The sequence below is a fragment of the Homo sapiens genome, chromosome 3, assembly GCF_000001405.40.
Source record: "Homo sapiens chromosome 3, GRCh38.p14 Primary Assembly".
Classification (NCBI taxonomy): Eukaryota; Metazoa; Chordata; class Mammalia; order Primates; family Hominidae; genus Homo; species Homo sapiens.
The window spans coordinates 64,077,167-64,090,143 of NC_000003.12; the positions used below are offsets into that span (position 1 = coordinate 64,077,167).

General features: G+C 43.1%; 2 long non-coding RNA genes across 2 annotated transcripts in view; one reads left to right on the forward strand and one right to left on the reverse strand.

Annotated features, from left to right (window-relative positions):
• Window positions 1-12,977, forward strand: part of PRICKLE2-AS1 (PRICKLE2 antisense RNA 1) — a 35,168-nt gene that overhangs the window by 9,203 nt on the left and 12,988 nt on the right. The window lies entirely within an intron of this gene.
• Window positions 1,195-10,197, reverse strand: LINC00994 (long intergenic non-protein coding RNA 994). Its single transcript, NR_033978.1, has 4 exons — window positions 9,711-10,197; window positions 5,925-6,518; window positions 2,669-2,841; window positions 1,195-2,069 (listed from the first exon to the last, which is right to left on the reverse strand). It is a non-coding gene; the product is annotated as a long intergenic non-protein coding RNA 994 (long non-coding RNA).

A 12,977-nucleotide genomic window follows, 5' to 3' on the forward strand; every position in this document is an offset into this window, starting at 1 on the left:
GGATGGGGATGGGGATGGGGATGGGGATGGGGATGGGAATGGGGATGGGGATGGGGATGGAGACGAGCTTAACAGGGAAGGAGAAAAGCCTAGGTATACTAAGAGTCGTTACTTAGTTGGACACCTCGATGGGCAATAAATAACCCCATAGAACATTTTGAGAAGCATATAGCTGAGAATCCAGAACAATTCATCTAGGAATTGAATAGGGGAAATATTTGTACATCAGCTCAGTTCCCTGCTGGTAAGAATGGCCTCGTGGGCATTCCATGCTTTGGCTTGAGTGTGCAAGGAGTCAGAGCTGACCCAGGACAGGAGGCAAGAGGCAAGTAGCCCAGGGCCAAGACCCAAGAGAATGCATTGTCAGTCTGCACCTACGTGAAACAGAAGGCTGGGTTGACCTCAGGGGCATAGCAGCAGGTGCAGTAAGAGGTAGGGCCAAGATGATGTGAAGTGGTATACAAGAGGGGTGCAGTGTAGCAAGAAATAATCCTGCAATTCTAAGCAAGTGTGAGACTACTGCATGGATCCAGCATCTTCCCAGGGACATCCAAAGGGCTGCCCATGAAGCTCCAGACCAGTGTATAGACATGTCTACACTCAGGGGAAAAAACAGGGGTTTGATGGGGAGAAGAGGCAATACTGCTCATAAAAGGGTAGTTTTTACTTGTTTCATTTATAACTTCAACTCCTGCAAACCACAGCAAATTAAACAAAAATAAATTTTATTCTTTTCATTATCCACTTATCCCAGAAGGGATTCCTTTCCCAGAATTTCTGCTTAGTTTCTAAAATTAGAAGCACTCATTTGCTTGAGGTGGTTGCAAATTTAGCTCAATGGTTCTCAAAGTGTGGTCCCAAACTAACAGCATCATCACCTGGGAACTTCTAAGAATCTGACATTATCAGACCCTACTCTAGACTCTTTGAATCAGAAATGCGGGGGGCGGGGGGCCAGTAATCTAGTTCAGTGAGCCCCCCAGGTGATTCTGATGCATACTCAAGTTTGAGAATTGCTGCCTAGAGCACTAAATAAATCCATCATGTGCTCTCAGCCAGGTTTTTAGGACTTTGAATTAGAAATATGGGCATGAAGTAATAAATCAATCTTCACTTTTCTATCAGCAAATACTAAATATGCTTGTATTACATTCCTAGGACTGCCAGAACAGATGATCATAAACCGGTGGCTTAAAACAACAGAAATTTATTCTCACTCAGTTTTGGAGCCCAGAAAGCGTCAGCAGGGCCACAGTCCCTTCCAGGGTTCTAGGGGAGAATCCTTCCTTGACTCCTCCAGCTTCTGTTGGCTTCTGGCATCCCTTGGCTCTGGCTGCGTAACTCCAATAGCTGCCTCGTCTTCTGATGGCCTTCCCCTCTGTGTGTCTCTGGGTCTGTTTGTCTCTCTCTCCTTTCTCTTATACCACCACCAGTCATTGAATTTAGAGCCCACACTGAATCCAGGATGATCTCGTCTGGAGATGCTTAACTTAATACATTTGCAAAGGCTCTATATAAGCTCACATTGACAGCTACTGTGAGGTTAAGACTTGGGACATATCTTTTTGGGGATCAAAATTCAATCCACTACAATGTCTAACATGCTGGAATCCAACATCTTTATAAAGTTCCTTATTCACCTTTTTTTTAAAAAACAGGTAAGCAAACATAAAATCCACAACCACTTGATCACTTTTTTCTCCTCTGTAGGCAATGCCAATAGAATCATATGTAACTAGGATGTCTATTTACCAGCTTGGTGTACAAACGTTATCACTCCACACTGATGTTGACTCCTTGTCCCTGACTGCTCAAATTAGCCCCTGTCCCTCCCTCACCCCATATGCTAAAGAAGCATACTAATTAATCACACCCAATGCCTGCTTTCTCACAGGTGATACTTGCACCAGTGAAGCTGAAGATCACAATTACTGCCTCAAATACTCACTGCCCTGGAAACCGGCCACCTCTGCTCCAAAGCAAGGGCTTGCTATGTGCTGACCTTGTGTCCCAGGCTCCACCCCTGCTGCTTGTTCCAACGTCTTGCTCTCTGTCTTCCTCCAATCCGACTGCAGTGGGGTTGGCAAGTGTAGGTGTGGGGGTGGGAGTGGAGATGTGGGTGGGGGTCTTTTCTCTACCACATTACCGAAGCATGGCTACAGGCTCTCTCAACTTATGCATAAGCCCAGACATACTCCAGGTCCTCCCACTGAGCCACTTCCTTATTTCTGTGTGGCACAGGTCCACCCGGCTGTACAATTCCAAGGGGCACCATTCACATCATATTCTCTGAGAATGGTGCCCTCACACACCATACACAACAACAGCCCTGACACAGCCAGGAAACTGATTCCTCCCGTGGAACCTCCTAATGCCTCTTGGCTTGACTCACCTCCAGCCTGACTGTGAGGAAAGTTCTGTCATCCCCCAAGAGTGACTTATAGTCCAAGTTCGCTGGTAATGGGGCCATCCATTCCCTTCAGGGAAAGCTCCACCCCAGGAAGACAATTCCCAAAAGCTCTGACATTCTAAGAGGTCCCAAACTAAATGCTATTCAAGCTTGCCCAATCTTATTATCCTGGTTACAAGTATAACAATTAAAAGACATTTGTAGACATTACAGTGTTGGGAACAAATATAGCTTTTTAAAAAAGGAAAGTAAACTTACTCATGTGCTTGCCAAGTCTCAATCAAAAGGTGCCATATGGAAATGGTATAAATATGATTGGCCTCCAGCACTGGCCAACTTTGAATCTCCCTGGAGCTCACAGATGGGATGCCACATGGATTAGATCCAAAGGCTTGGTAATTTGGTCCTCGTCCTTTCCTAGATAGTTCTCGCTGGAAGAGAGTGAGAGGAAACAATATGGTGTTCCACTGGAAAATAAATGGAGGCCTGTCTGTCTGCAGTGCAACCAGTGTTTCAAAAAAGACCTCCCCTTCTCCCTCCACACTTCTAAACTAGCCCCAGCAGAGCTGGCTCCCAGGTGTAGAAGTGGGTGATGAATGTCACCTGAAAATTAAGAAGCTGAATAGGAGCAAGGGCAGGAAGGAGTAGCAACCAGAGTCAACCACACCGGCCCATTTTCTTTCTTTCCTTTGTTCGGCCTACTAGGGCTTCATTTGTACCCACTCACCTCTTAGTAAAGGAGCACTTCTCTTTGCCTCTCAGGTGTCATACCTTTTCCTATCTGGGGCCTAAAGAGAGCAACAAACTGTTCACATGCACACAATTGTCAAGGGGCGGAGCTAAGATCTACAATGTGAACAGTCAGAATCTGTGGCATGGTTCCCTTGAAAGTGATCCCGGGCTCCCAGAAGACCACAGCTCCTGAAAGAGGCATCCCATTGAATACCAGCAAAATACTCTCCCTCCTGGTTGGTTCCAGGTTGTTCTTCCCATTGCCCATCTTCAATAGTTTCACCACCCTGCCTCTTTTCACCACTCTTTCCAGCTTTTTTTCCCACATCTTCCCATCTGATGCCAAATGTCCTGGGCAAATGGAACATGGAACACTTCAGGATCTCAACTTCCCTTGCTCAGATTGAAGCCACAGTTTCTCTGACCTCAGGATTCAGTTTTTTATTTTTTTCTACCCCAAAATTATACTGCATATTCCTGCCAGGGTAAGCTTTCTGCAAAACACATTGACTCCATCTGTGCTCCTGCATGAGAAGCTTTGAGGCTCCTCACTGCCCAGAAAATAAAGCTGGAGCTCCTTTGTATGACACCCAAGACCTTTTGCTATCTATTCATCTATTTCCTCAACCTTGTCTCCTAGAACCTGGGATCCAAGCCACACTCAAGTCACAGTCTTTCCTGAACACATCACAGCATTTTATGCCTATGAGCTGCCTTTTCACTCCATCTCCCCCTGCTGAACTCTTACACATCCTTCAAAAGAAACTCAAATAGTTCCTTCAAAAAATCATTATGACTATTTCTCTTCTTAGATTGACTCATCAAGACTAGAGCTATATCCTTTTAAATATGTCTGCTGCCCAATGCAGTCGCTGGCACACAGTAGGCTCTTCATGAGATTTTATTAAGAATGTTTTATTGAGCACCTACTATGGGTCAGGCTCCCTCCTAGGCCCCAAAGGTATAGAAATATAATAACCAACACTCTTAGGATGCTCCTTGGGGCAAAATGAGGAATGTCCTCTCTTATATCACAGAATCCTCACTTCTTTATAATTGACTCACAGCACCTAAGATATGTATTAGTGGTGGCTGTTACATGCATGTTTTTCCAGTCACATATGCCTCATTCTAGCCACAAGCTTGTTTCTAAGAAATAGGTAAGTGAGGCTGGGTTCAGTGGTTCAAGCCTGTAATCCCAGCACTTTGGGAGGCTGAGTTGGGCGGATTGCTTAAGCCCAGGAGTGTGAGACCAGACTAGACAATAATGGCAAAACCCCATCTCTACAAAAAGTACAAAAAAGCCAGGTGTGGTGGCACACATCTATAGTCCCATCTACTCTGGAGGCTGAGGTGGGAGAATCACTTAAGCCAGGAGGCAGAAGTGGCAGTGGGCCAGTAGCAGATAGCACCACTGCACTCCAGCTAGGGTGACAGAGCAAGACCCTGTCTCAAAAAGCAAACAAACAACAACAACAATAAACCAAAAAGAAAACAAAACAAAACAAAACACAAAAACCAGAAACAGTAAATAAGTGAAATTTTTATAAAACTTTCACTAACAAGCCCTTAAACCGAAAATATTGTTGGTGGACTTATTACAATACATTAAATCTATCTGCTTTGGTAGATACATATAATTCCTGAAAAAAACAGATCCTTACAAATGTGTAGCCAGTGTATCATGTGTGTGCACACATGCATGCATGCAGCCATGTTATTAACATTCTTTGGTGTACAATGGGGCAGGCCTTGGGTCCAATTATGTTCCCAGGATCCAGGGTGCAGCTGAATGCAGAACCTCTACTACACAGGTGTCATCCTTGGCTACTTAATTGTTAAACTACTTTCCTTTGTGACGGCAGATGATGGATGCAAGAGAGAGAAGGTCTATTTACAACCAACTTTTCTTTCTCATGATACTGCCTCAGAGAAGAGAGTAAGAGGAGCAAAATCAAATATTCAATAGAAATAGTAAAATGGAATTGATCTGCCTACACAAAATATAGATGATTCCCTTAATTTCACTCCATTGAACATGATATATACAAAAATTAACAAACACCTACTGCTTAGAAGTCTGCTCCTTAGGGCAATCATTTGAGAAGGTTATAGAGTATTCTAGGCCCAAACTAGAAATGGGCTTTTCCCCTGCTGCGGTCATAATCGTTGACAAAGACCCATCTGCAGAAGGCAGGGAGATATGTCCTATCCAGATTTCAAACTTGTAGACCTATCAGTTTTGGAAACTGGAGGAGCCTGTGACCTCCCTCTTCCTTCTTTTCCCTTTTCCCTGTAGCTGACTCACACTCTCAGCTGAAATCTGAGTTCAGAAAGTTCTGCATGCTTGCCTTGCTGAAGGTAACACAGAGCCTCCTTTTCCCAAGCACTATCAACATTTTGGAAGTGTTTTCACTCATTTTTATACCTGTTATTTACCTGGATGGCCTAGCAGATAGAAAGAAGAAGCCTTGCTGTCCCTCGTGGGTCACAGGCACATGTTCAAGGCAGGGGAGGAGGCAGCAAGAAGAGGAAGAGGCCCCAGGAACAGAGCAAAAGAAGACCTGGAGATCCCCCACATCCCTGCTCCTTGGGATCCTATTTCTTTCCAGGCTTCTACAGCTTGTTCTTTGCAGGGAACTTTACTCCCCACTCTAACTAAGGATTTTATTTGCAGCTGTCAGCATGCAAGGCTGAAATCTTGTTTGTGCCCTGGGTTGGTGTGCCCTGGGTTATTATGCTCAGCTGTCAGCCTTAGCCTTTTAAAAAACAATTCACTTACAGGATTGTTTGGATGGCATTAATTTGCAGAACGAATTGCTGGGAAGAGGAGGAGGTGGAGGAGGACTGCCCCGATGATGTCAGGAAGACTTTCTGGAGAGCACATGTTTCTGGGTGACATATATCTCCTGGGTGAGGTTGGGTGTACTCAAAATACTGGCTGAGCATTTGAGAGGCCACAGAGGTGCAAAGGCAGAACTGGAGACTGGAGAAAACCTCCCTCCATCCCAGCTCCTTGAGGGTGGTCAGCTTGTATTTACAGCTGTTCGGTGACCCTAGAGGGGGCTGAGGGAGGAAAGCATTGGCAGGAGAGGGGTCATTAGCAGCTACGCATTTGTCCTGCTGCCCTTCTGAGTGTTGCTCAATGCTTAGATACTGCTCCGTGTGGTCTCACGCAGTGCTTTGAGCAACACATCGAGGAGGAAGGAAACTTTTTTTCTTGAGTCCTTTGCCCAGTTCAGTGCTGACTTCAGTTAGGACTGTTGGGAGCATTTCTCTGGAGACACGGTGACCCTTTTGAAAATACTCAAAAGTTCTGAGCTCCAGTCTGAGGACATTTAACACAGGGCAGGATACCAGTTCATCTCCAAACCACCTATGGCAGAAAACAGCAGGGAGTGAACCTAGGAAGAGATCAAGACACGCTCTCACAAGGAAGCAGCACAAATGCGCATTTCTTAAGAATGAGGTTGGGCAAGTCAGGAGGGTAGGAACCCTCTGCTCAGTCAAACAAGAACTAGGGAGATGGGAATGTCCAAGGGGAGGCAGTAGAAGGGTAAAGCAAGGCAGGCAGGTGAGTCATCAAGGGCTCTGGGGAAGTGGGATTTGTTGAGGTGAAGCATTGCTGCACTATGGACCTTCTGCCATGCTTTAACTTTTATACCAGGTAACTAGATATCTGGGACATTTCCTTTTGCAGGCCAAACTCTGGCTTTTAAAAAAGATATGTAAGAAAAGCAAAGCAAGGTTCCGTGAAGATAGGAGATTTGACTGACTTATTGTCTTATCCTCAGATTTAGAATAATGCACGCAGTGGGTGCTCCATAAATATCTGAGGAATGAGCAGGCTGCCCAGTGAATTCAGTGCAGCGATTTTCTTCTACAGCCTCTGTTTTTCTATGAAAGGGGAAAGTGTCCTCCATCTTTCAAAGGGAACACTTGGGGTTACTAAGGGCTCTATGCAATACATACTTTTTGTATGGGTCATTTTAATTGTTTAGTTATTTTATTCCTTTCGTTCAGCAAATATTTATTGTGCAGTTAGTACTGTATAGGTAATAAGCTTAGTATATGTGAATACAATGGTAAGCAAAATAGACTGTGTGCACCGTGCAGTCTCATAGGCTGTAGTTCTCTGAGACCATTATTAGAATTCCAGGTTTTAATTAACTGATCAGTTTAACCAAGCCAAAGCAACCTACCAAACCAACAAACAAAAAAACTACATCCAAAGCACTGGCCCCTTTGAACTTCAGAACTTCTCATGAACATCAGACGATACACATGACTCAGTCCTCTAGGTTAGAAAGAAGCTTGAGAGGACATTTTAGACTGGCCCTTATGTATTAGTCACAATAGGCTGGGTTATGCTGCAGTAAAAAATTAACGCTGAAATCTCTTCAATTTAAGACAACAAAGGTATATTCCTTGTTTAAGCAAAGCTCCTTATGGATGGCTGCTTCCACACAGTGACTCAGAGATCTAGTCTGCTTCTATCTAATGATTCAGCATCTAACTATGTGGCATCCATGTTACCATGACTTGAGATCAAAGACTGTAGGCAAATGCCTAGAGACTGTCCACTGTCTTAGTCTGGAAGTGACACATCCACTTCCCCTCACAGTTCTTTGGCTAGGACTAGTCACATGACCACATGCAACTGGGAGGGGGCTGGGAGGTGGGTGGGAACACATGGATATTTGATGAGCAGTAAATATCTCAGCCACACTCATTCTTTACACAAAACTCCCCCTGAATTATCATTCTGAAGAACTGAGAAACAACATTGAAACAATTGATAGATGAGATGTAGAGAATAGATTTTTCAAATAAATGAGTCAATTTCCTTTCTAGGCTATTTATCTGAGACTAATTTGGAAATTAAAGGAATATAGTTAGTTATTCCTCTTTCTAGGTCAGAGGAATTCACTATTGACTTTCTTGTACATCCATCATTCTTTGATTTCTTTCTTAGGTCAGGAAAACTTCATCTTATGCTGCATATTTTCAGGTGGTAAGGTTTATTTTTTCATCCTGGTAAAAAGAGATAACACTCTAGATTGTAAATTTGTTTTATTTTCTCTTAAAACTCTATGGTAGTAGCATTACCTGCCTTCCGAGTGTTTCCTTTGCAACCCTTTGTCTACTGGACTCCTATTTATAATAAATATTTAGCGGATTGTGTCTGAAATGTTAGAATAACATTTGCTTTTTCTAGAGTCACTTTTTGTTACTGGATAGAAAGCATCAACTTGTTTCTTTGTGTTTCTTCTGCCATTGGGGCTTTTATTAAATTAAATGTTGTAGCATGTCATTTATTTCTAATTCAGCGGCAGATTTTTGCCTAAGTGTGCCCTGATTGTGTCCTTGCTTGCTCAGGCACCTTCTCCAATAAACTATAGTCTTGCAATTAGCACTAGACCCATGAAAGAAATATGTTGAAATATGATAATTTATTCCATTTGCTAATATAAGTTTATTCCTTGGTAGTATTTTCCAAAGCCACATGGATTTGATTATTCTTAAATCTTCACTTCCTAGTGATGGTTCTTTCATTATATTATAAATTATCTGATTATAATTCAGTGGCATAAACTCTTGACTTCGTGTTTTTTCTTTTTTTTAACTTGCAGTTGATAGTACTTGAAATGTTGGTAGCTTCATTATGGAATCCAAAGACACTATTACTCTTTGAAATTGGAAAACGCTATTGCCTAACTGGAGTTTATTAGAAAAGAAACCAATTTGGGGGAAATTCAGTAATGCAAACTTGATCTCAGACGTAACCACTAATAGGAACTTTGAGTGAAATTTTGCCTTGCAGCGACTTATCCAGAGAGAAAAAGACTTCTCCTTGGAAGGAAGGCTGAAACTTTTTTGTTTGTTTGTTTTGTTTTTTAGTGTTTCATACTCAAAGGTTTGTAAGGTTAAAGCCATACTCCCTCTTCTTCCTTTTAATTTACTGAACCAGAATTGTTAGGAATTTTTCTTTTCACACTCTTTTAAAATTTTTTGAGCATCTACTATGTGTTAGGTCCCAGAAGAAAAGACAGCTGGGCTCTCTACCCCCATGGAGTACTGGTTCTAATGAGGGGGAAAAGGAAACTCGGAATTACAAGATGTTGCCAGCAGATATGCAGAATCCCAGGGGAGCCCAAGGCAGAGATCCTATTTCTAACTTGCTGAGACCAGACTTTTCATCCTAGAAGAAGCGTATCTACGTTGAGACCTGAAGAATGAGAAGTAGTTAACCAGGTGATCAATAGGTGGAAAAGGGAAAGTAGAAATATGAGTACTTTAAGCAGATGGAACAGCAAGTCCAAAGGTCTGGGTGCAAGGGAGAGACCATGATGAGAAACTGAAAGATCAATTTGGCCAGACATTCATGGCATTTGTTCATTGTATGCACATTATGCAATGCTTTCCAGCAATTGTGGTTTGTGTGAGGGGGTGACAAGACAGAGAGAAGGTGCCAGACCTGTGACCTTGTCTACCATAAAGGATCCTAGAGGGTTTTGGGTCTTGACTCTGAACAACAGACACAACCTTCCCACAGATATCCTCTTACCTGCCATGATGTCACCAGCTGGGTGGAATTCATACAGTCCATGAAGTAATAGGAAGAAGACCTCTGTGGTCCCTGCAGCCCGGGAGAAAAGAACTCATTCAGGGCAGAAGCAACACGGTCCTGAGGGAGTCGGGGTATTGAGTGAAGCAGAGATGAAAACAAAACAGGACAGAGTGGTGAATTTGATTTACATAATAAGAGCAGGCAAGGAAGACTGGCAAGTGTGACAGAAAAGACCTGTGCTCTAAATGTGTTTGGGGGTGGAAGTTGAGAATAGGAAAGAGACAACTCAAGAGACAAGCTGGCATTCACATGCAGGGTAGTGACTGGGCAGCAATGGTGAGAGAGAATTTTTAAATGTCTGCTATGCATTAAGAATTTACCTCCTCCTTCGGTGTTTCCTTGATAGACAGGACAGATTTGAAATGCTGAATATAGACTTATAATACTTTCTGGTTGTGTTTGTATTTCTTTGAATGCAGTACTTGGCTGAGAATGGACCAGTTGGAACCCTAGGGCTCACAGGGTTGTAGAAATTTTCTCATGAGACTGTAGCTTCAACTTGCTAAGCAGAGTGCAGATGACTGTTTAGAAATATAGCCAATAGATAATCTCAGTTCTTACTCTTGGGTTATTACTAGGATAGTTCCTAAAGAGATACATTTGGGGATGTCTGCCCAGCCCATGAATTTCTGCATCCAAAAAACTGTTCCCTCACCCATAAGAGCTAGCACTCTGGCCAGGCATGGTGGCTCACGCCTGTAATCCTAGCACTTTGGGAGGCCGAGGCGGGCGGATCACCTGAGGTCGGGAGTTCGAGACCAGCCTGACCAACATAGAGAAACCCCATCTCTACTAAAAATACAAAATTAGCTGGGCGTGGTGGCGCATGCCTGTAATCCCAGCTACTGGGGAGGCTGAGGCAGGAGAATCACTTGAACCCGGGAGGCAGAGATTGCAGTGAGCTGAGATCGCGCCATTGCACTCCAGCCTGGGCAACAAGAGCAAAACTCTGTCTCAAAAAACAAACAAAAACAAACAACAAAAAAAAATAGAACTAGCACTCTGCCAGCATGCTAGCACCTAGCACTTCACCCCTGTTCCAACATTGGTCGATCAGACCAGGAATGAGTACCTGACCCCAACTGGGCCAATCAGAGTATTTTTTGAGAATAAGATATTAAATGAAGAAGATGGCAACTTGGGAGCTGCAGAGAACCACATATGTCCATGAGTTCCCCAAAGCTGAAAAAGCAAAGTAATAAAGGGAAAAGATTAAGCAGACTATGGAAGAGAAGCTGAGCTTTAAAACTTAGGGTAGAAACTTTCTGATCTCTTGGTGGCTTTTCTATTTTGGGCTCCAGGCCCTCAAGAAACTGTTTCCCCTAGCTTCTTGCAAGATACGCGGTATCTTTGAAACAAACATTATTATTATTATTATTATTTTTGTGGCCCAAGTTAGTGCGAAGTAAGTTTTGATTACTTAAAATCCAAAGAACCTAGCCTAAAAAAATTGCCCTTTATGGCCCAAATTCTTTAGGTTATTCAGTTTACTTTCTAGTATTTCTAGACCCATCTGTTTGTGAACTTCTTGTGTGTTAAGGACACAAGGCCATCCATCAGCCCTGATGATCTGTTTTATCTTCAGAATCAGCCAGCCAAGCAGAGGCAACAAGTATCTGCTAGTATTTTGCTGAGAAAGCTCTTAAATCATCTTATCTCCTGCTGGGTATAATTGTGTCATTTAATAGCTTAACCATTTCCCCCTAAACTTCAGGCTGTGTTTGCCTTTATTTATCTATTGCATCTACTAATGAGCTTTCCTTTTTAGGTTCATGACTGGATGTCTGTCTCCGTCAAAATTGGCTATATTTAGAATTTAGGCTGGGATGGGTTTTCCAAAGGGGCTGGTGTTTCTCATTCTAAGCTAAAAGTAAAACCAGTATCTACTTTACACATAGGGCAGATGAGTATTTGGGAAGCAGACCCTTCAACCCCAAAGCTCTATAACACAAACAGGACTGAGCCCTTAGCATACAAGGACTCACAGAAAATAAAGACTTTCCCATGGTGAGAGGGGTGGCCCTAGATCTCCAAATGTTTATGAAAAATGTGATGACCCAGGGCCCTGCTGAATCAGACTCTCTAGGGATGGGGCTGGGGATCCTGAATTGTACATAATCTACCCAGTTAATTTTGATGTGTGAAAACCATTGGCTATGAGCCCAAGTAGCAATTCTCCAATCCAAACATAATTGTTAGACTGTGTTTTACAATAAGCTCACTCTCTTCTTCAGTGCAGCAGTGGTATACTTCTATCATAAAAATTAAAGCCAATTGAAGTTTGTTCCTTTTTTGATGACTGCCACTCCTGAAAAAAAGTGAACCCACTCCAGATCCTCCAGAATTGGAATGGAAGTCACTGGCTCAAGTTTCTTTATTCAAACTAATAAGCTTGTTAAGTTCTCTTGAAGCATCAGGGACTAGGGGATGTGTTTTTGTTTGTTTATTTGCGATAGGGGCAGGAGGCAGACAAATGTCTAGGCAGATAAGGGTGGGTCTCCAGCAAAACCCCACTTTCAAGCCGGAAATAGTCCTGGGTAAATCCTCAAACTGGATTGAGAAACTGCCTTCGAACTTGGCACATTTTCCCCTGATTTTTTTTTTTTTTTTTTTTTTTTTTTTTTGTGAGAAGGAATCTTGCTCTGTCACCCAGGTTGGAGTGCAGTGGTGCAATCTCAGCTCACTGCAAGCTCCGCCTCCTGGGTTGTCTCAGGCTCTTGTCTCAGCCTCCCAAGTAGCTGGGATTACAGGGATGTGCCATCATACCTGGCTAATTTTTGTATTTTTAGTAGAGATGAGGTTTTGCCATGTTGGCCAGGCTGGTCTCAAACTCCTGACCTCAGGTGATCTGCCTGCCTCAGCCTCCTGAAGTGCTAGGATTATAGGCGTGAGCCACTGTGCCTGGCCGCTTTCCTCTGATTGTTCCCCACCCTTCACCTATTTTACATATACCTACCCTTTCCTAATTGGTTTTCTACACTATCATGCCCACCTTTGAGTGATGTCTTTGCTTTAACCTTTTTTGCCTACTCACAAACCAATCAGGATGCACTCCTTATTCTGAGCCCATAAAAAACCTCAGATCCACTGAACCAGAACCTCTTTGAGGAGGACAAGGAGTTTTCATTAAGTTCTGTGGGCATTTTTTACACTTAGTAAAGATTCAGGCCTTCCTCCAATGTCTCTAAATCCTATCTAATGCTT